Source organism: Homo sapiens, chromosome 3, assembly GCF_000001405.40.
Source record: "Homo sapiens chromosome 3, GRCh38.p14 Primary Assembly".
Taxonomy (NCBI): domain Eukaryota; kingdom Metazoa; phylum Chordata; class Mammalia; order Primates; family Hominidae; genus Homo; species Homo sapiens.
The window spans coordinates 179,204,299-179,228,547 of NC_000003.12; the positions used below are offsets into that span (position 1 = coordinate 179,204,299).

At 34.7% G+C, this 24,249-nt stretch overlaps 1 protein-coding gene across 2 annotated transcripts in view; it reads left to right on the forward strand.

Annotated features, from left to right (window-relative positions):
* PIK3CA (phosphatidylinositol-4,5-bisphosphate 3-kinase catalytic subunit alpha) overlaps positions 1-24,249 on the forward strand; it is a 91,968-nt gene that overhangs the window by 56,173 nt on the left and 11,546 nt on the right. For both annotated transcript variants that reach the window (XM_006713658.5, NM_006218.4), the window contains exons 6-17: positions 205-290; positions 5,297-5,402; positions 5,888-6,040; positions 6,133-6,267; positions 13,912-14,036; positions 14,898-14,979; positions 15,273-15,437; positions 15,651-15,754; positions 16,688-16,859; positions 19,783-19,889; positions 20,402-20,523; positions 21,664-21,742. In XM_006713658.5, the coding sequence (XP_006713721.1) occupies positions 205-290; positions 5,297-5,402; positions 5,888-6,040; positions 6,133-6,267; positions 13,912-14,036; positions 14,898-14,979; positions 15,273-15,437; positions 15,651-15,754; positions 16,688-16,859; positions 19,783-19,889; positions 20,402-20,523; positions 21,664-21,742 (1,436 nt within the window). The remainder of the gene's footprint in view (positions 1-204; positions 291-5,296; positions 5,403-5,887; positions 6,041-6,132; positions 6,268-13,911; positions 14,037-14,897; positions 14,980-15,272; positions 15,438-15,650; positions 15,755-16,687; positions 16,860-19,782; positions 19,890-20,401; positions 20,524-21,663; positions 21,743-24,249) is intronic.

Consider the following 24,249-nt stretch of genomic DNA (forward strand, 5'->3'; position numbering starts at 1 on the left):
TCTCCATTGTTATTAGTGGATGAAGGCAGCAACTAATTTTGGTGAAGACTCTACATCAGTATTAACGTGTTACATATGTGAAAAAAAGGAGAACCAAGCTATATCTGAACAAAAATTCCGTGGTTTTATATTTGAGTCTATCGAGTGTGTGCATATGTGTATGTTGAGTGTATACATTAGTATATACCTACTTTTTTCTTTTAGATCTATGTTCGAACAGGTATCTACCATGGAGGAGAACCCTTATGTGACAATGTGAACACTCAAAGAGTACCTTGTTCCAATCCCAGGTAAGGAAGTATATAGATTTATATTTCCAAAGGTTATATTAGTGTTTAGCAGTATGATCCATAAAAGTAGTATATTTTTTTAGACCAGCCTGGGCAACAAAGCAAGACCCCATTTCTACAAAAAGTTTTTCTTAAAAATTAGCTAGGCACTGGCCAGGCACGGTGGCTCATGCCTGTAATCCCAGCGCTTTGGGAGGCTGAGGCGGGTGGATCACGAAGTCGGAGTTTGAGACCAGTCTGGCCAAGATGGAGAAACCCCATCTCTACTAAAAATAAAAAAACATTAGCCGGGCGTGGTGGCGGGCACCTGTAATCCCAGCTACTTGGGAGACTGAGGCAGGAGAATCGCTTGAACCTGGAAGGCTGAGGTTGCAGTGAGCTGAGATTGTGCCATTGCACTCCAGCCTGGGCAACAGAGCGAGACTCCGTCTCAAAAAAAAAAAAAAAAAAAAAAAAAAAAAAAAAAAATTAGCTAGGCACAGTGGCATGTGCCTGTAGTCCCAGCCATTAGGGAGGCTGAGACAGGAGAATAGGAGAATTGCTTGATCCTGGAAGTTCCAGGCTGCAGTCAGCTATGATCGTGCCACTGCATTCCAGCATTAGTGAGACCTGATCTCAAAATATATATATATTTTACATCATTAGCTTTATACAAGCTATATATTAATAAATTACCAGAAATGTACATATAGACCAGCAAGACTTTCTGTCAAATGAGTATCAGTCACAGGATTATTTTATTGATTCTGTCTAAAGTTTTATCAGAATAGTTTCTGATTGTCTCTTTTCATTGTATCAAAGAGAGAACAGAGTATGGTTATAATTTTATGCTAATCATTCCCCACATTAGATTAAAAACCTAGCATTTTATTCTTTTCCTGTCTCCATCATCATTCACATGAAGGAGAAGTAAGAGTTGGCAAGCAACTCCATAACCAAACTACCCTGAGGCAGTTTCCTTCAAATCACTCCCAAGAATAGATATTTATGGCTTTCAAATAAAGGGTCTTTGGTAGCAAATTAATTTGTTAGTGGGAGAGGGAGTTATGGGGAACATTTTAAATTATTACTGCCTGGATGTGATGAAGAAATAAAAAGTAGTATAATCCAATAGCTGACTATCCTGCATTTCTTTGCTTCTCTCTATACAGTCATTTGGGAATAAGAGTACCCCTGAACGTAATAGCAGTAATATTTCAAGAGAACTCAAATTGTTATTGGACTTTATGATAAAATAACAATAGAGCTAACTAGTGACTCCTCCAGAAGTAAATCTCATAATGAATTTAGACTGAGTTCTAAGACATTCAAGAAAAAGTTCTGGTCTTGTTGCTAAAGATGGCCACCCTTTTAGAGCCTAGGTAAGGTTAAAAGAGATGGTAGCCTTGTCTGCCACAGGGAAGGAAGATAGTTCCTCAGCCTACCTAAACCACTGTAGGTCAGAAAACGTATCATTCAGGTCAGAAATGAGATTGTGACAACAAACAACTTCAGGATCTTTTTTTTTTTTTTTTTTTTTTTGAGTTGAAGTCTCACCCTGTGGCCCAGGCTGGAGTACAGTCAAGTGTAAGCGATTCTCCTGCCTCAGCCTCCCTAGTAGCTGGGACTACAGGCACATGCCACTGCGCCCAGCTTATTTTTTGTATTTTCAGTAGAGGGGGGTTTCACCATGTTGGCCAGGCTGGTCTTGAACTTCTGACCTCAGGTGATCCCACCCACCTTGGCCTCCCAAAGTGCTGGGATTACAGGCCTGAGCCATCATGCCCGGCCAGGATCTTTTTAAATTCTTGCTAAAACAAGAGTTTATATCCCACTCATACTGGTATGCCTCACACTGATTAGTGGGGTGGTTGTAGCAGGAAAAGAAAAACAACATTTGAGGAAATAATAGCCAGAATTTTTCCAAATTTGGTAAAAACTATAAACCCGTCAATCCAAGGAGTTCAACAAGCCCCAAGCAAAGACCCCAAAATAATACTGGATAGAATTATCCTAGCTAGCTGTTTCAAGTACCACAAGTTAAACTAGCTTTATAAAAGTAAAAGGCTGGGCGTGGTGGCTCACGCCTATAATCCCAACACTTTGGGAAGCCAAGGCAGATGGATCATTTGAGCCCAGGAGTTTGAGACCACCCTGGGCTATATGGAAAAACACAGTCTCTACCAAAAATACAAAAAATTAGCCTGGGATGGTGGTGTGTGTACCTATAGTCCCAGCTACTCAGGAGGGTGAGGTGGGAGGATCACCTGAGCCCAGGGAGGTTGAGACTGCAGTGAGCCATGATCGTACTACTGCAGTCCAGTCTAGGGGGCAGAGTGAGACCCCGACTCAAAAAAAAAAAAAAAAGTAAAAGATAAACTTATTTAATAATATATGATTAAAATGTTGAAATGTTAGTAAAATAGCTATTTAGAAAGGACTATATTTGTCTTTAAGCATTCTGTAGTCTAAAAGGTGAAGTATTTATGGTAGTGTGAAAATTTAAGTAAACTTTTTAAACTTTTCTGTGCTTACAAAAACAAAAATCAGATAAATGAATATGAAGTTATTAAAAAGATAGAAAAGTAGATTTTAAAAATTCTTACTAAATATTTGTTTCAAATCTGTGCTTCTTTTATGCTAAATTAGATGCTTTATGATTTCTTTGTAAATGTTACAAGTATCTCCCAAAATCAGAGTCAATTTGGACTGTATACACACACACAACCATTTTCTAGAAATAAAGAACTTAATTGAGCATGTGTATATGTGTGTGTGTCTGTGTGTTGTGGGATGGATGGACTTTAGAAGAAAAGAGAAACATGCTTTATTTTGTTAGCATAGGGCTGAACAAGTAGATTTGTAGGACATAGCTCTCTTAGAGTATAGAACACTTCTTATTAATTTATGAGCACTTCTAAAGATTTAGGAATAATAAAAAGTCTGGTACATTAAAGTAATATATCTTTAATTTTTCTTTTCTTTTTTTTTTTTTTGGAGGCGGAGTCTTGCTCTGTCGCCCAGGCTGGAGTGCATGGCACAAACTCGACTCACTGCAACCTCTGCCTCAGCCTCCTGAGTAGCTGGAGTTACAGGCGCCCACCACCACGCCCAGCTAATCTTGGCATTTTTAGTAGAGATGGGGTTTTGCCACGTTGGCCAGACTGGCTTCGAACTCCTGACCTCAGGTGATCCGTCCACCTTGGCCTCCCAAAGTGCTGGGATTACAGGTGTGAGCCACCATGCCCAGCCTAATTTTTTTTAAATCATTGCGGACTTAAGTCCCATAATATTTTTCTCTATATGTTTCTACAATTATATGTGTTACTGGGCATGGTAGTATGCGCCTGAAATCCCAGCAACTCAGGAGGCTAAGGGAGGCTGAGGCAAGAGGATCACTTGAGCCCAGGAGTTCGAAGCTATAATGCACTTTGGTCATGCCTGTGACTAGCCACTGCACTTCAGCCTGGGCACATAGCAATACCCTATCTCTAAAAAATAATAATAATAATAACATTTGTTTTTTCTTTTACCTTTAGAATTCTTGCCACATTTCCCCATTTTAAATGTGTCTTGTTTCTATAAATAGACCATATTTTTAAAAATCTTTATCCATACTTGAGCAAAAATGCTAGAATAAATGGAACTTATTTTACTGATGAAGTTTATTACTTAGTTGGCTAATTAAAAATAGAATTGTTATACTATTTTATTGTTGATTAAGAATTATTTTATTTATAATCAAGATTAGACCAGAATGATAAGACATTTGAAAAGTTTTTAAAATTACTATCTAACATATGAGCTTCTATCATGGGACAATTGCTATTCTAATTCCTTTGCTTGTGTTATCTCATTTAATTTTATGAGATAGTTATCAACCTTATGAGGGTAGGTACTATTATTAGTCCCATTTCATAGAGGAGGCAAAAGACAAAGCAAGGGTCACACACTTAGTGAAAAAGGGGAAATAAGATTCTACTCCAGTCTGATTTCTGAGCCCATACTCTTTATCCATTGTTATAATGTTTTTTTAAAATACAAAACTGTTTATTGTATGTGGTTCTTTACAAATATGTTCACCAAAGACAGACATAATTTCACATGTAGCACCCAGTAAATTGAGGGAATTTATCATTAAAATTCAAATAATTTTTTATCTTGTTCACTTTTTGTAGCAGTGTTTTATTCTTCCCTTATGAATGTGAAGTTTCATTACCTTTTATAAAATAATTATTCTTCAATTCAAATACTTTATGTATCCATCATTTTATTTACCTACTGATTTATTTAGTGGATTCCTTTGGATAAAACTATATTATGTATAAAAGTAACTAAATGTAATCATAATAGGAAATCTTATTTTACCTTTAGTTTTCCTTTTGTTTGACTTTTATGAGCAAAATTATATATATAAATATATAGAAATAATAAATATATATTTATATTATGTATATAGTATATTATATAATATATATTATAAATATAAATAAGTTTTTTAGTGACGTATGTAGCACACATGCATAAAAGTATACAAATCATAATTGTATAGTTCAGTCACAAAGTAAATACCCATGTCTTCTGCTTTTAACAAATGCACACATTTCTGTGGTTTTATTCCTACAATTGGAGCTGGGTCACAGGGAATACATATGCTCACTTTTATTAGATTATGCTTTCCAAATTGGTTGTAACAAATTATACCCCAATACTCTTAGTGTATGAGATTTCCTATTACTGCATAACCTTACCACCCCTTGGCATCATCAGTCTTTATAGTTTAGCCATTCTTATGTATAGTGATATCTCCATGAGATTTTAATTTTCATTTTCTGTATGACTAATAATGACTCCCTTTTCATGTTTATTAACTATTTGAATATGACCTTATAAAGTGCCTTTTCCAATCAATCTCTTTCCTGTTTTTCGTTTGGTTGATCTTTGTCTTCGTGATTTGTAGGAGTCATTTATATACTTTGATGAAGACTTTTCTTGATGTATTATTTTTGCTTTAAAATTTTACATAGGTGGAATGAATGGCTGAATTATGATATATACATTCCTGATCTTCCTCGTGCTGCTCGACTTTGCCTTTCCATTTGCTCTGTTAAAGGCCGAAAGGGTGCTAAAGAGGTAAAGTATTTCAGAAGGAACAATTATGTTTACCTTTAAAAACTCCTGATTATACCGCTGATTGAATTTTTTCACAAATTGGATGTTATTTTATATTTAAGAAAATAATAATAAACCTATTTTTAAAATTTTAATAAATGTATCATGGAAGAATACCTTGGGAGAGCTTCAGGAATTTATGATGAATATGTTTTGAGTTCTTATTGATACCATTTTTAAAAATGCAAAGTGACTATATAACAGGGATTGCATGCAAATATCTCATGCTTGCTTTGGTTCATATTTTCTATTTATAATTAAAATACATGTAATTTCAAATGGGGAAAAAGGAAAGAATGGGCTTAAACCTTGAAAAATCAATTTTTTTTTTTTAGATATTCCCATTATTATAGAGATGATTGTTGAATTTTCCTTTTGGGGAAGAAAAGTGTTTTGAAATGTGTTTTATAATTTAGACTAGTGAATATTTTTCTTTGTTTTTTAAGGAACACTGTCCATTGGCATGGGGAAATATAAACTTGTTTGATTACACAGACACTCTAGTATCTGGAAAAATGGCTTTGAATCTTTGGCCAGTACCTCATGGATTAGAAGATTTGCTGAACCCTATTGGTGTTACTGGATCAAATCCAAATAAAGTAAGGTTTTTATTGTCATAAATTAGATATTTTTTATGGCAGTCAAACCTTCTCTCTTATGTATATATAATAGCTTTTCTTCCATCTCTTAGGAAACTCCATGCTTAGAGTTGGAGTTTGACTGGTTCAGCAGTGTGGTAAAGTTCCCAGATATGTCAGTGATTGAAGAGCATGCCAATTGGTCTGTATCCCGAGAAGCAGGATTTAGCTATTCCCACGCAGGACTGGTAAGGCAAATCACTGAGTTTATTAAGTATCAATTATAATCTGTGGATTTAGGTAGATACTTTCTCTATGGAAAAGGATCCATATATTTTACTGGCATAGATACTATGAACTCTAGGACCAATATTGCAATAGAATTAAGTTCTCTATATGCTAATATTTTTACTGCACCTCTGCTTTTTTAAAGCCCTAGCTTGCCTTCATTCATTTAACAAATATTTATTGAATGCCGACTATGTGTAAAGCACTGGGAAAGGCACTAGGTAATAAAGTCATGAACTAAACAGACCTTCATTGAGTATGCACTCTAACTGTGAAAACAGACATTAAGCAGATAAAAGCAGAAATATAAGATTACAGTTGACCCTTGAACAACATGGATATGAACTACACTGGTCTACTTATATGTGGATTTTTTTCAATAAATATATTGGAAAATTTTTTGGAGATTTGTGACAATTTGAAAAAAACTTGGAGATAAACTACATTGTCCAGAAGTATCAAAAAAATTGAAGTTAGGTATGTCATGAATCCATAAAATATGTATAGATACAAGTCTATTTTATCATTTACGACCATAAAATATACACAAATCTATTATAAAAAGTTAAAATTTATCAAAACATACACACACAAACACAGACCATACATGGTACCACTCATAGTCAAGAGAAATGCAAACATATATAAAGATGCAGTATTAAATTGTATCTGCATAAAATTAACTGTAGTACATACTGTACTACTGTAATAATTTCATAGCCACCTCCTGTTGCTATTGTAGTAAGCTCAAGCATTGCATATATCCACTTAAAATGCTATGTAGGCTGGGTGCAGTGGCTCATGCCTGTAATCCCAGCACTTTGGGAGGCCGAAGCGGGTGAATCACCTGAGGTCAGAGTTCAAAACCAGCCTGGCAAACATGGTGAAATCCCGTCTCTACTAAAAATACAAAAAGCCGGGTGTGGTGGCATGTGCCTGTAATCCCAGCTACTCGGGAGGCTAAGTTAGGAGAATTGCTTGAACCCGGGAGGCAGAGGTTGCAGTGAGCCGAGGTCACGCCATTGCACTCCAGCCTGGGCAACAGAGCAAGACTCCGTCTCAAAAAACAAAACAAAACAAAATGCTATGTAATGCTGATCATCTCTACATGAGTACTTCATCACTTCAGTAAATTGTTTATTGCAGTGAAAAGTGATCTCTCACAGTTCTTGGATATTTTTCATCATGTTTAGTGCAATACCGTGAACCCTGAATAACACTATGAGGGCTGTAAGGAGTGCCTCTAGTGATGCTAGAGGTACTCTCAAGAAGCAGAGAAACGTCATGACGTTACAAGCAAAAGTTGAATTGCTTGATGTGTACCATATATTGAGGTCTGCAGCTGCAGTTGCCCTTATTTCAGACAGACAACTAATCTTGTAAACAGACAACATAAACTTTGTTTGTTTTTGTTTTTTTGAGATGGCGTTTTGCTCTTGTTGCTCAGGCTAGAGTGCAATGGCACAATCTTGGCTCACTGCAACCTCTGCCTCCCGGGTTCAAGTGATCCTCCTGCCTCAGCCTCCTGAGTAGCTGGGATTACAGGCATGCGCCACCATGCCCAGCTAATTTTTGTATTTTTAATAGAGACGGGGTGTCTCCATGTTGGTCAGGCTGGTCTTGAACTCCTGACTTCATGTGATCCACCCGCCTCGGCCTCCCAAAGTGCTGGGATTACAGGCGTGAGCCACCGCGCCCGGCCAAACTTTTTTTTTTTAATAAGAGATGGGGTAGGTGGATCACACCTGTAATCCTAGCATTTTGGGAGGCCGAGGCGGGTGGATCACGAGGTCAGGAGTTCAAGACCAGCCCGGCCAATATGGTGAAACCCCGTCTCTACTAAAAATACCAAAATTAGCCAGGCGTTGTTGTACATGCCTGTTAGCTACTCAGGAGGCTGAGGCAGGAGAATCACTTGAACCTGGGAGATGGAGGTTGCAGTGAGCCGAGATTGCGCCGCTGCACTCCAGCCTGGGCAACAGAGTGAGACTCCGTCTCAAAAAAACAAAAAACAAGAGAGAGATGGGGTCTCACTGTGTTGCCTGGGCTGGTCTCGAACTCCTGAGCTCAAGTGATCCTCCCTCCCCTACCTCCCAAAGTGCTAGGATTACAGGTGTGAGCCATCATGCCCGGCCAAAAGACAAAATAAATGTATAGTATCAGTAAATACAGTACAGTACTGTAAATGAATTTTCTCTTCCTTATGATTTTCTTAATAACATTTTATTTTCACTGTCTTACTCTATTGTAAGAATATAATGTATAGTACATATACCAAGTAAGTGTTAATCAACTGTTTATATTTCTGTTAAGACTTCCAATCTACAGTAGTCATTTGTAGTTAAGTTTTTGGGGAGTCAAAATTTACACATGGATTTTCAGTTGTACAGGAGATCAGTTGCCCCTATCCCCTATATTGTCCAAGGGTCAGCTGTATAAATCACATTAAGTGCCAGGAAGGAAAAAACAATAGTGAGCTAAGAATAACTAACTGAGGATTTGTGGGGAAAAGGCAAATATATATATATTGGGTTCAGGAAAGACCTCTCTGAGATGATAACCTTGAAGTTGAGACTGAAGTACAGCTATACCTCTGAGGTATTGTGAGTGGTCTAGTTCTAGACCACTGTACTAAAGCAGAAATCACAATAGAGTCACAAATGTTTTGGTTTCCCAGTGCATATAAAAGTTCTGTTCACATTATACTGTCATCTGTAAAGTGTGTAATAGTCTGTCATCTGTAAAGTGTGTGATAGCCTTACGTCTAACACAACAATGTACATACTTTAAAAATATTGCTCAAAAATGCTGATGATCATGCAAGGCTTCAGCAAGTTGTAATCTTTTTGCTGGTGGAGGGTCTTGCCTCAGTGTTGATGGCTGCTGACTTACCAAGCTGGTGGTTGCTGAAGTAACGTTAGCGTGGCTACAGCAGTTTCTTTAAGACGACAGTGAAGTTTGCCACATTGATTGACCCTTCCTTATGTGAAAGATTTCTCTGCAGCATGTGATGCTATTTGATAGCATTTTGCCCACAATAGAACTTCTTTCAGATTTGGAGTCAGTCCTCTCAAAACCTGACGTTACAGTTAACCAGCTGCATTAGCCCCTAACAAGAGAGTCAGCCTGAAGCTTTGAAGCCAGGCATTAACTTCTCTTCTCTAGCTGTGAAAGTCCTAGATGGCATCTTCTTCCATTATAAGACTGTTTAGTTTACATTGAAAATCTGTTGCTTAGTGTAGCCACCTTCATCAGTTATCTTGGCTAGATCTTCTGGATAACTTGCAGCAGCTTCTCCATCAGCACTTGCTGCTTCACAGCTTCTTTTTTAAACCTCTTATACCAACCTCTGCTAGCTTCAAACTTTTCCTCTGAAGCATCTTCGTCTCTCTCAATATTCATAGAATTGAAAAGAGTTACGGCCTTGCTCTGGATTAGGCTTTGACTTAAGGAAAAGTTGTGGCTGGTTTGATCTTCTATCTAGACCACTAAAACTTTCTCCATTTCAGCATTAAGGCTGTTTTGTTTTCTTATACTTCATTCACTGAAGTAGCACTTTTAATTTTCTTCAGGAACTTTTCCTTTGCATTCACAACTTAGCTGTTTGGCACCAGAGGCCTAGCCTTGGCCTGTATGGCTTTTGACATGCATTTCTCACTAAACTTAACATTTCTAGCTTTTGATGTGAAGCAAGAGACGTGGCACTCTTCCTGTCACTTGAACACTTAGAGGCCATTGTAGGGTTATTAATTGGCCTAATTTCAATATTGTTGTGTCTCAGGGAATAGGGAGTCCTGAGAGGAGGAAGAAAGAGGAGCAAAGGTTGGTCGGTGAAGAAGTCAGAACATGCAACACTTATCGAATAAGTTCACCATCTTAATTGGCTCATGGCACCCCCAACTGCATCAGAGTAACATCAAAGATCACTGATCTTTGATCACAGATCATCATAATATATAATAATAATGAAAAGCTTGAAATATTATAAGAATTACCAAAATGTGACACAGAGACAAAAAATGAGCCATGCATTTGGAAAAATAGTGCCAGGAGACTTCCTTTACATAGGGATACCACCACAAACCTTCAGTTTGTTGGAAATGCAATATCTGTGAGGTATGATAAAGCAAAGCACAATAATACAGGGTACACCTGCACAAATATATTGTTAGTTGAGCTTGGAAGCAGAGAAAACAGCAGGTCTTCACCATGTTATCCCAGGTTCCCCAGGAAAGAGCGTATGTAAGATGGAATTTAAATATTGATCTAGTTGTCTAATCTTGGCCATAGCTTTTGAACCACAGTATAATTATCTAGGTTCAAGAACCATTAACTCTCCCTGATTTCTCAAGGGCAAAGATGTCAATGCCACGAGAAGATGTTTGTGTTCATTGGTGTTTCCAAATATATTACTTTTTCTTTGGCTTTGTTGGCTATAGATAAACCAGCCAATGAATTTTGGGCCAAGAAGTCCAAAACACCCCTATCCCATTAACAGTAACAGCAGCATCAAGAGGCAGCCTGGTATATTGCACTTAGGAAATTTATTGATTCATAGCTGTGTTCTCAGTAAGGCGTTTACCACTACTTTTCGGAAAACAAATTATCTTTTCTGCATATATATTTTTCTGCATTTAAAAGATACGAGTCTCTTTTTTGAGCAGTTCTCTTTGTAAGAATTGATATTTGATGACTGTATTCTTTCTTAAAAGAAATTTTATTTCAAAGAAAAGAAATTTGCTTATTTTATAGCAGAATAAAACTTCTATTTTTCAGTTACAATTTGTATCTATTGGAAACTTTTGTAAATCTAAGATACGACATGGAATCTTAGTTTTTCTGTATCTTAAATATTTTACTATTTCATCATCCTAGAAATTACTTCATCCATATTCATTATTTCCAACTATGCTAAAAAAGACTAAAATAATATGAAAATATAAAAGAAGGATAGAATAGCCTAGAAGGACAATAAAATAGTGAAGTAAATCATGATGTTACATCATCCTTCAGTTTTCTTATTGCATTGCCCAGTGTCTTGCATCATCTTTCCAGAAGTATAGAAGAAGTCTGCAGACACTGTCTTTGTAATTTTTTTGTTTGGTTGGTTGGTTTCTTTCAGGCTTTCATTGGACACTTGAGAATTCAGAATTTTTCACTTTTCACCCAGAATGATGACAGATGAAAACTGACCAAGGAAGATATTTCACAAGCATTAGACAAATCATAATATGAATGTAGATAGATAGTAGCAGCCTAGAGCAGAGTTTCCCAACCTCAGCACTATTGACATTTTGCGCCAAATAATTCTTTGTTGTAGGAGCCATCCTGTGTGTGCAATCCAGGATGTTTAGCATCCCTGTCCTCTACCCTACTGCAGGCCAGTAGTGCCATCCTGCTAAGTTATGGCTATCAAAAATGTCTCCAGACATTAGCCAAGGTTCCTGGGTGGTCAAGGGGACACAAAATCACCCTAGTTGAGAACCACTACTCTAAACTCTAATCATGGTGAAGTTTATTATATAAATGAAATGTCAGATGACAACACCTAAACTGTCTCTCAGTTATCTTAAGTCTTCTCAAACTCAGGATAATGATGAGTAAAGAATATATTTCTAACAACAAAAAGGAAATTTGATAGTATTTCTAAAGACAAAAAGGAAATTTGTATTCACATTCAGTTAGTCATTCCACCAGAATGACTTCATCACACAATATTTTGTGACAAGAACCTGAACAGCCTGTTTTACAGTATTCTTTTCATCTTTTATTATATGCACCAAAATTTTTTTTTAAATTTTCTTGAACCTCTAAATCTACGTTAAAAATTTACCTGATACACTTTCTAAATGGACAAATGCCGAAGGTAGCTGTGTATACAAATGTGACTAGAAGGAAAAAGATGATATAGAAATAAAATAACTCCTTGAGTTGATCATTCTGATTGGCATTTATAGAGTAGAAATGTTTTGTAATTACAGAGGAAAAAAGATGGCCTTTCCTTCAACAGTTATGAGCCGTCAGAATTTTCAAAAATACTGCATTTTGACAATGTAGTTTCTAGTTTGACAATGATATATTTATCTTCAAAACCAGGAAAATGTAGATAAGAATTTGGTTTTATAATATTTAAATTCTTATTAAAATGTCTAATAAAATTGTTTTCCCCATCACTTTATTCTTCTGTAAGTTATTTTATATTTAAAATGTAAACAAATAAAAATAAGTAAATAAACAGTAGCAGCTTCTTTTCCTGATAAATCGAGGATTGAGTATGTATTATCTCTTTCCTGGACTACTGGAATAACCTCTCCCTCCTTCCACAGAGAAGCCATAATAATCTTTATGAAATACAAATCAAATCATGGTATTCATTCTTTAAATAGCTATCAATAAAAATAAAATCCCAACTTTATACCCTGTTCGCAAATTTTACGTGGTCTGAATTCAGCTTACATTTCTTCTTTCCCTTGTCTATTGCCCATCAGGCTCACTGGCTTTATTCCTTCACACCAAACTAGTTATTTCCGGGGTGGGAGGAAGGCTTGCAGTGTTTTCTCCATCTGCAATAGTCTTTCCCAAATCTTAGTGTGGATAAAGGTTCCTTCTTGTTACTTGAATCACAAATACTATGTTCTCAGTCATTCTCTGTTACATCATCCAGAGTACATTATATCAATTTTCCAATATTTTTATTTATTTGATTTCCCACTATAACAGAGGCTCTGTTAGTGCAGGGTCTTTTACTATTTTGTAATCCCAACAGCAAGAACAAAACAAGGTACATAGTACATATTTAATAAATACTTGTTGAACAAATATGTGCCGGTAATATTTCTTCATGCTGCTGAATAAGTTAACAGCATATAAACACATACAAACCAAGTGGCATGGATGTCTGCTTTCATTTTTAGCCTTTTAAAAATATATGTAACCCATCCTAAGGGGTTTATATTTGTTTTGCATAATACATTAATATGTACTCATTATTCATTACACAGTTAATATATCTATATTTGCAGGGAATATACATTGCTTGGAATTATACAAAAAAATATTATTTTTCGTTTTCTAATATTCAGGATACAGTGTTTTAATGGGGGTGTTTCTTCATTCTTTTTTTCTTACTGGTTTTTACTTTTTAAATTTGAAAGCTTTGCAGGGATCATAAGGATCTGTTCAGGCAAAGAACATGAAAGGGTTTACATTTTTATCATTTTAGTGTTTCTTATTCTCTATATCAAAAACATTCACAGATAAGTTAACAAGATCCTCATCAGGAGGAAAAGTAAATTGTTCACTACCATCCTCTAGTATCCTAATCTGGTCTTGTTGTTGGCTAACTTCAGCAGTTACTATTCTGTGACTGGTGTAATATTAACCAAATAAATTACTGGATTTGTTCTACAAATATTATGTCTTAGATTGGTTCTTTCCTGTCTCTGAAAATAAAGTCTTGCAATGAAAATAAATTATTTTACAACAGTTAATTAGCAATGTAAAATTTATTGAAAATGTATTTGCTTTTTCTGTAAATCATCTGTGAATCCAGAGGGGAAAAATATGACAAAGAAAGCTATATAAGATATTATTTTATTTTACAGAGTAACAGACTAGCTAGAGACAATGAATTAAGGGAAAATGACAAAGAACAGCTCAAAGCAATTTCTACACGAGATCCTCTCTCTGAAATCACTGAGCAGGAGAAAGATTTTCTATGGAGTCACAGGTAAGTGCTAAAATGGAGATTCTCTGTTTCTTTTTCTTTATTACAGAAAAAATAACTGAATTTGGCTGATCTCAGCATGTTTTTACCATACCTATTGGAATAAATAAAGCAGAATTTACATGATTTTTAAACTATAAACATTGCCTTTTTAAAAACAATGGTTGTAAATTGATATTTGTGGAAAATCATACTACATTGGTAGTTGGCACATTAAATGCTTTTTCTTACTCTGAATTCCTGATATGACTTTCTTTAGGATTGTTTAAAATATTCTAGTAGTTTTAGGTCAATTTAGATGTGATTTAGTTGGTCTAGATATTATAATTTTTAGGGGTTCCCTTTCATTTTTCTTTTTTCTTACGTTTCTTCAAATAGTATAATGCCTTATTTTCATTTATGAAGAAATTACCCTGCTGTTGGTGATACGGGTATATTTAAATAAACCAGTTGCAGTGCATTTCTGCAGAAAGTCCATTAAGACATAAATTTTGTCCAGTAACTACAGTAGAAGTGGTGACTCTATGATTCATTCATGTTGCATAAGTAGGTGAAAAATATGAGCTATATGAAGAGTGGTATAACATATATTCATAATTTTTCTTAACTGTTAACTAAATGTAAGTACTTATAATCCATTTGCATTTTCCTTTTGTGTTCTTTGCCATTATAACTGTGCCTAAGTATATATGTAAATATATTTCCAACTATAGTGTTAAACACTGATGTCTTTTGAATTTTAAAAAAGCTAGTAATGTAAGAAGTTTGGGACTTCTTAAGAAGATTCATATGGAGAAGTTAGACATGTCAACCTTTTGAACAGCATGCAAGAATGTTTATGTTTATTTTGTTTCTCCCACACAGACACTATTGTGTAACTATCCCCGAAATTCTACCCAAATTGCTTCTGTCTGTTAAATGGAATTCTAGAGATGAAGTAGCCCAGGTAAATGTATGTTTGAGATTACTAGATAACTGTTGTACAAATTGGTATGTCACTTAAATTGTTTTCTCTCAGAAAGTCCACATAAATAAATGAAATAGACTAATAGTAATATAGTGTAGAAAAAAACACCCTTAACATTATTTCCATAGATAAAACTAATTAGAACTGTAAATTCTAAGGAGATTATTTATCTAAACTAATTTTAAAATCAGAAGTTAAGGCAGTGTTTTAGATGGCTCATTCACAACTATCTTTCCCCTTTAAATATGATTTATTGTCTTTCTCATACACAGATGTATTGCTTGGTAAAAGATTGGCCTCCAATCAAACCTGAACAGGCTATGGAACTTCTGGACTGTAATTACCCAGATCCTATGGTTCGAGGTTTTGCTGTTCGGTGCTTGGAAAAATATTTAACAGATGACAAACTTTCTCAGTATTTAATTCAGCTAGTACAGGTAAAATAATGTAAAATAGTAAATAATGTTTAATTACAATAATAATTTATTCTAGATCCATACAACTTCCTTTTAAAAAACCTACTGCACTAACTAGTTTTATGCTTAAAAAAAAAAATTATTACCAGTAATATCCACTTTCTTTCTGAAAAAATTTTCTTTAGATCGGCCATGCAGAAACTGACCCTGATTTGTTTTTTTGGAATCACCTAGGTCCTAAAATATGAACAATATTTGGATAACTTGCTTGTGAGATTTTTACTGAAGAAAGCATTGACTAATCAAAGGATTGGGCACTTTTTCTTTTGGCATTTAAAGTAAGTCTAATTATTTTCCCATTAAATTCTTAAGGTACATATTACTTGCTTTCTTAATAGATTTATAAATATGTATTACTTATATACTTTTGTTTATGTTTGGCTGGAAGAGTTTTCCATACTAAAAGTATTTTGTACCAGTGATGAGCTTCTCAACTTTTGCTCTTTGAAATTTAAAAAGCAGTAAATTCAAAACTAAATTTTAGTCATGAATGAGAGCTTAAATATTTTTAAAGATTTTTGTTCTACTTAAGTCAAATTTTCTAGGTCCAGATGAATATTGCTGTAGGTTTCACTGTGTGTATGGATTACAATATCCCCAAACAAAGAAAAAAATGTTTTACCTTGAAATTCAGAACAATGTCAAACTCCCGTGGTTCTTACTGAAAAACAAGCTAATTAAGAATAAAAAATGTTTTGTAGAATGTGATATATGTAGTACTCAAAAGTTACAGGTCATAAACCATATAACTTTTCATAAATTTAGAAGCAGATTTATATCTAATATGATATTTTAAGTGTTAAAATTTAATAATGGAACCCAGAAGTTAAGTTGAAAACAAGAAGCATAGGCGTGTGTCAGAAGAGTCAAACAGCATTCACTGAGCGCTTTGTTCCCTCCCTCTTCATTTGATTATTTTTGTGCTCAATTTCCTTTTTTCATGTTTTTATATCTTGTACTGAGATTAGTCAATGAAAACTAGTTGAAATAAACCTAAAAACTAGATGTTTATTTAATCACATATTCAGGAACTACCTGAAACTCATGGTGGTTTTGTTTCTAAATTACAGGTTTTGAATAATTTTATTATTAGTATGATTGTAACATTTATTGGATTTCAAAAATGAGTGTTTAAATTGTTTAGCAAAGATTATTTGTATACTGATTTAAGACTATATATATATATTTTTAATTTTGCACGATTCTTTTAGATCTGAGATGCACAATAAAACAGTTAGCCAGAGGTTTGGCCTGCTTTTGGAGTCCTATTGTCGTGCATGTGGGATGTATTTGAAGCACCTGAATAGGCAAGTCGAGGCAATGGAAAAGCTCATTAACTTAACTGACATTCTCAAACAGGAGAAGAAGGATGAAACACAAAAGGTGTGTGACTCTAGTTTGTGTTTGAGACTCTTTTCACTGCAGTGGGGCAGAGTTGTTTAGAAGCCCAGTGTATATACAGATCATGGTCCTTGGAATCAAGCAGATTAGGATTTGGAACCAAGTTCCACTGCCTCTCAGCTGTGTAGTGTTAGACACGTCATGCAGGCTCTCAGGACTCATTTTCTTTGTCTGTAAAATGGAAATAATACCTGCTTCATAAGGCCATTGTGAGAATTAAATTACACGAGATATGCAAAGAACCTATCACAATCCTTGGAACATAGAAGGTGGCCAATAAATGTTAGATCCCTTTACTTTCCCTTCCTTTCTCTTATTCAGGTCCCTAAGTATTTACAGTGATTATTTCCTTATTCTGTCATTTATTGTCTCTCAGTAATGACCCTGAAAATGAGTGGAAAGAAGTTAGTTTTTACATTTCCAAGTTTAAAATGGATTTCGAGTCACTCAGTAAATATATCACACTCTAGTCATCTGCTGTCTAGCTTAGTATAACTAAGAGTAGGAAATACAATGTAAACTTTTTTTTTTTTTTTTTTTTTTTTTTTTTGAGACAGGGTCTGGCTCTTTTGCCTGGCCTGGAATGCAGTGGTGCAATTTCGGCTCACTGCAGCCTTGACCTCCTGGGTTCAAGCCATCCTCCCACCTCAGCCTCCTGAGTAGCTAGGACTATAGGAGCATGCCACCACTTCCAGCTAATTTTTGTATTTTTAGTAGAGACAGTGTTTCGCTTTGTTGCCCAGGCTGGTCTCCAATTCCTGGGCTCAAGCAGTCTGCCCACCTCGGCCTCCCAAAGTGCTGGAATTACAGGCATGAGCCACTGTGCCTAGCCCAATGTAAACTTTTTTATGACCTTTTCCTACACCCTATTCTTTATTCAATCCAATCCACCACATCCTAAATTCACCACCTCTTACAATTAAAAGGAAGCTCATTCCTCACCTCTAGTAAAAGGAAAAAAAAAAGAAAAATCGTATATTAGTGAGTCCCCAAAGGACAGAGAATGTAAGTTAGCAGTACTGAATGAATTTTTCCAGCATCTTCATTACTAGTACTTGAAGGAAAAAAAAAAATTAAAACAAAGTTATTGTATTAATGTAAATGTCATACAGTGTGAGTTGATTTTATTGAAGTGTGATATATAAATTCAAATATAGGATGGTAGAAAATAATTGTACTCTTTCTGATACTGGAATTTATGAGCAAGAAGGGTCTAGATTGCCCTGGAAGAACAAAATTTATTGTATTTATATATTGTAACTGAGCTGAGAAAAAAGAAACTAAATTTTAGATACATTTGTAAATACAGATGTTCCTCAACTTATAACAGGGTTATATCCTGATAAACACATCATAAGTTGAAAATATCGTACAGGCAAAAATGGGCATTTTGTAGATGTGATGGGATGCGAAAACACAAAACACAGTATCCAAAAAATGCTGGCCACACAGTACGCTGTAGACTATTGGTCGTTTACCCTCATGACTGCATGGCTGACTGGGAGCTGCGGCTCGCTGCTGCTACCCAGCATCTCAAGAAAATACTGTGTTGCATATCACTAGCCCAGGAAGAGATAAAAGTTTAAAATTTGATGTATAGTTTCTACTGAATGCATGTAGGAAGAGATAAAAGTTCAAAATTTGACATATAATTTCTGAATGCATGTTGCTTTCACACCATCACAAAGTTGAAAAATAGTAAGTCAAAACCATTGTAAGTTGGAGACCATCTGTGTAGGCATTTCTTCTAAGCTGGAGTTTTTATATCACAAATTGGCTATGATACAGTGGATTAATTAGGAACATGAAATTCATTACTCAGATCATTATTGGCTTAAATGAGATTTTGATAGGGAACTAAGATTGCAGTCATAGAAACAAGAGCAGTTACTTTGAGTGGCTTTGTGTTTTGTTGTAACAATGAGTGATAAAATATAAGAAGCATTGTGCTAACATTAGAGTTGTCAGTGATAGAAATGCCTTTACATGAACAAGAGCTATCTAGTCAGTGATGATTAGATTTTCTAACTATTCATTTGTATATAACAAGAAGAAAAAAACTTATTTAAATTCCAGCATGAAAATTAATTTATTATAATTCCTAGCTCCTAACCACTTTTTCCCCCACTCACATTTTATATTTTCAATAGGTGAAAGTTTCCTAAAATAAAATCCCAGCTATTGCGTGATAACTCAGCAGTCTGGGCTCTGATTTGAATTGATTAAAAAGGGATATTGTTTTGTAGCCACATACTAAAACCTGAATATAGTATGAGACTCCATGTAACAAATGTTTTTACAAGTCCTTTTCCCAACAATTTCTTTTAGCCTCACTAGACCACTTTCACCCAGCAAAGAGAGTATGAATGCTGTGTTTTCTTAAAAGCCTAAAAGTAAGGTTATTAAGCTAATGTAACATGGTCTCCTTAGTTTTTCCTCTAGAACACAGATCAGCAAGTTTTCTTAAAGGGCCAGATAGTAACTGTTTTAGACTTTGCAGGCCCATGTGGTCTCTGTCTTAACTATTCAACTCTGCTATTCTCGTAAAAGCAGCCAATATGTAATGAATGGGTGTAGCTATATTCTAATACAACTCAATTTACAAAAACTGGCAGCTGACCTGCCGGTTGACTAGCCCTGCTCTACAGCCAAAAGCATTGCCACTATCACCAAGCAGATTTCATCTTCTTACAGGAAGGGGTACACAGTGCTGCCAGTCTTGCTTCTGTCTCTGAGTGTTGCTGCTCTGTGTTGTAGAAACCCTCTTAATTAGAAAGCAGCAGTCTAGGATGTAGATTCAGAGACTGTACAGTACTGAGGTTCTCATGTGAGAAAGAGATTAGCAGTTAGTTTTATCTTTTATTAAGTCAGTTTCTTACTGTGACTATCCTTTTTTTTTAATCAGGTACAGATGAAGTTTTTAGTTGAGCAAATGAGGCGACCAGATTTCATGGATGCTCTACAGGGCTTTCTGTCTCCTCTAAACCCTGCTCATCAACTAGGAAACCTCAGGTACTTTCTTGGGGGTTTCATTGATATATTTAAATAAATACCTTTTCTGGATAAAATCTTGAGAAAAGTAAAAATGTCTGTTATAATTAGAATGTTCAATAATTTATGCTTCTCTCTCTCATTCTCCTACCCTCAAAATAAGAGTAGTATATCTTAAGTTCAGTACTGCCTTTATTCAGAATGAGTTTTTACTACTTAAATAATACAGTTTAAAACCTTCTATGGCCAGAATTTCTGTTACCATAGGATAAGAAATGGAAATGTAATATCTGTAAAACTAATGATATATCTCTATATATTTGTTGGAAATTCATATGCAATTATATAACTTTTAAAACTTTTAGTTTTTTTTATACTCTTTAGGAATGGATTCCTAAATAAAAATTGAGGTGAAAGTTGTAAATCTTTGTAACACTTCAAAAAGCTATATTGTATTTATATTTTAAAATAAATTTCAGGGTAAAATAATAATAAAGCAAAGGTACCTAGTAAAGTTTTTAACTATTTTAAAGGCTTGAAGAGTGTCGAATTATGTCCTCTGCAAAAAGGCCACTGTGGTTGAATTGGGAGAACCCAGACATCATGTCAGAGTTACTGTTTCAGAACAATGAGATCATCTTTAAAAATGGGGATGGTAAGGAAGAGTATTAATGAGCTTATGATGCATGAATTTAGCTATCTTTTTATACACAGGATATTTATGAACCATGAAAACTACTGAAAGCCATTTAAGGAATATACACATGTGATAAAATATGTAATATTTATCAGATGTCTTGACCTTTGAAATATGCATGTATAATCAATGAAAAGAAAAGAAGTACTAGGTTTAGATCAGAAGTCCTGAAATCAGTTTTTTGTTTTTTCTTTTTCCTGTTCCCTGCCTCCAACCCCCCTCCCGTGGACCTGTGTAGAGAAGTATTTTTTGTTGTTGTTTTGGTTTTTTTTTTAATCAGTTTCTAATTATCATTTGCTTAGCTGTGTGAGTATCCATTCATTCCATAAATATTCTATGTGCTAGGCCCTGGGGTTTTAGCAGTGAAGAAAACAGAATCCCTGCCCTCTTGGAGCTTACAGCCTAACAGAGAAAAGAGGGACATTAAATGAATAATTACAAAAATAAAATTGCAAGCATGTTGCAAAGGAAGAGTGTAGTCTGCTCAGGAACCATATAAAAGAAGGTACTTATATGGAGGAAAAGGCTATGGGGGGAGTGAAGGAGGATCATGGATGGGTTTTCAATAGGAAATGACATTTCAGCAGTGAATTCTGTTGATCCCAATATTTTAATATAAACATGTGTTCAAATTTAAGGATTCAGAAAAATAATTACTATAAATGCTTTAATTAAAAATTTTTGTGAGATGCATGCTCACTTATCCTACATTGTTATTCAAATATGTTTATGCAAAGACTTTAAAAGTGGATTTAAGAATCAGAATATTAAGAGCCATTTGTAGTGGTGCATGCTTGTGATCCCAGTTGCTCTGGAGGATTACTTGAGCCCAGGAGTTTTAGACCAGCCTGGGCAACTTAGCAAGACCCCATCTCAAAAAATTATAAATACATTAATAAAGCTATGTAAAGGCTTTGAGTGGACATATACACTCATTTATAAATTTTTTGAAAAGAAATCAGAATATTGCTTTCCTGAAGTTTCTTTTGAAGAGTAAATATAGCTGTATTTGTTTTTCATTTGAAAACCATGTGATGGCGTGATCCCCAAATTTGCATCTGTGGCATTAAATGGTGATACATATTATTTGAATTTCAGATTTACGGCAAGATATGCTAACACTTCAAATTATTCGTATTATGGAAAATATCTGGCAAAATCAAGGTCTTGATCTTCGGTAGGTAACCAGTAAGGCAACCTGTATGTTGAAAGTTATCCTGAAAAAGTGAACTATTAATAATTATAGAAGCATATAGAGGCATATGTCTAAAAAGAAATGTATGCAGTAATTATCAGTAGTTGATTACACTATAGTACTTTGACATATCCTCCTCTTACTTAGAATAGCTAAATTATATTCAGCTAAGTAAAAAGAGCTAATAAGCTAATAAACACTCTGCTACTGCCTCTGGAGTGTCACCATTAGGAACAAGACAAAGGAGACACAAAAGACCCCTGTTTTCATTCAGAAATTAAGAGTTTAAAAGAAAGTTTCATAATGGGAATTTTCTAATTCTAAAACTGTATAAATCCTCAAATATTGGAATCAGTTTTGCAGCAAAATTATGCAACCAGCTATCTTAGAGTTTTTACCAGTCTGTTGGTTTCTACCCAACTTTCCACAATATCAGTATTATCACCAAGTTTTCTGTCATGCTTCATCTTCTCCTAGTCATTGTTGCTTCTAAAATGTTCTTCCTTACCTGACTTGTCTTTTTGCAAATCCATAGTCATTCAGGCAAAGCCCACTCTGTCCAAAGTATTTTGGCCTATAAGTGGACATAGAGTCAAGTCTAGCTGTAACAACAGGGTACATTTAGTAGGAATTGCAGGTAACACCAGACAAGGGCTTATTTGTATGCCTCTTATAAATTTTAAGAGTAGCTAGTATACAAAAATGTGTCAGTGACAAATAGTTGTACCCTTTTATTGCAAAGAAGAAAGTGGACATTTCAGGTGACCTGCTAAGGCACAAAATTGTCATCAACTTCAAATTTGTAACTCCTGATACGTAGCTTAACCCCTGCTGCTTTCCAAAAATGGTTAATGTTATATGAATCAAATTTCATTTTTTGGTATAATTTCCTGTGTCATGAGAGATCCACATGCCACTACTACCATGTCCCCCAAAGGAATAGACTGTAAAAAAGATTATAGAGCTAAGAAAGAGTAAAGGAGATAACCGTGTAACGCTGGTTAATTACATTGTTTAATTATAAAGTAATGACTTTGCAAAAAAGCATCTGAAGTTAAGATGATTAGAAATATTAATGGTTTTTTAGTCTTGTATTTTCTGAATATTTTTTAACTTAAGTAAATATAAGTAAAAATTTTATTTCAAGTTTAACTTTAGATTAAAATTATTTAAGTAAAATCATAACAGCATTTTTATTTATACTTGGCAAAACTATAATTCAGAATCGGGTTTATTTTAACCCTGCTTCTTTTTTTTAATAACAAGACTTAGAAGACAATTAAATTCTGTAAACTGTGAGCATGTTCAACAGTGATAAAAACATAAAATAAGAAAGAATGAGCAGGAGTACAACCTTAAGATATTTCCCTATTTACGAGGGCAGGTAGAAGAAAAGGTTGTGTAAGAGAAGTCATCAAAGGAAGTTGGAGTACTAGAGGAAGTGATTGACAATTTGTAGGGCCAGGGCTTCAAGGGGGTTAAAAGAATAAGGCCTGTGAAAAAGCACTTGGATTTAGTGACTCATCATTAGTTTTAAGAGTTTACTCACTAGAGTGGTAGGTGTAGAAGCTAGGCTACAAGGAATTAAGTAAGAAAATGAAAATAAGTATTGACCGTATTAGGAATTTAAGAAATAAAGGAAAGGTGGAAAATATGGAGAGTAGCTTACGAGAAGAACAGAGCAAGGAAAACCAAACTTTGGATACTTACGTGTCAATCTGAATGTTAGGTGCTTTTTTTCATTGTCTCTTTAAATCCTCACATCTGCACCCTTGACTAAGTGTCCTATTTAATTTTCTATGTGAATAAATGAGAGGTACCCTAAAAAGCATTTGTGCCACATCCCAAGTATTATGGTTGTATCAAAGGGAAACATTTGTGGGATTATTTGAGTTGTGAGCTGAACTAGCTGCTGTTTTTATGGAACACGATTTTTACTTAAATAACTAGTAGGCAAGCTATGGTTATTCAGACATGGATATTTGGCAGACATTTTCTTGAAAATGAACAATATGTGCCTGTCTCTTTGAAGAAAACAACTGTGACAGTATTTGTTGCCAATGATAAAATTCAAACTTGCAACAAAAATTTCATTAGAAATTCAAAATTAGAATTTTGAAAATTCTAATTTTCATTATCTGCCGCTGAACCTAATAGAGTCCCTAAACTTAACATCTTTCTGATGAGATTCTTGGTAATATTAACAATTGTGGTTTTTTAGTATGGTATAATGAAAAGTATCAACATTTGGAACATCTACAAATGACCATGCAGGATACTATAAAATCATGTATGGGTAAGAGATCCATTAAAAGGCAAGAAAGACAAATTGATTTTAATGTAACTGAGTATGAAAAGTTTATTGATACAGTTTTAGATTACATTTTGCAACTTAAGAAACTTATCTTGTCAGGTTTTAGAATAGTACCAAAGAAAAATATCACAATTATCTGAAAAGTCTATTATAATACTCCTTCTTTTTCTACCTA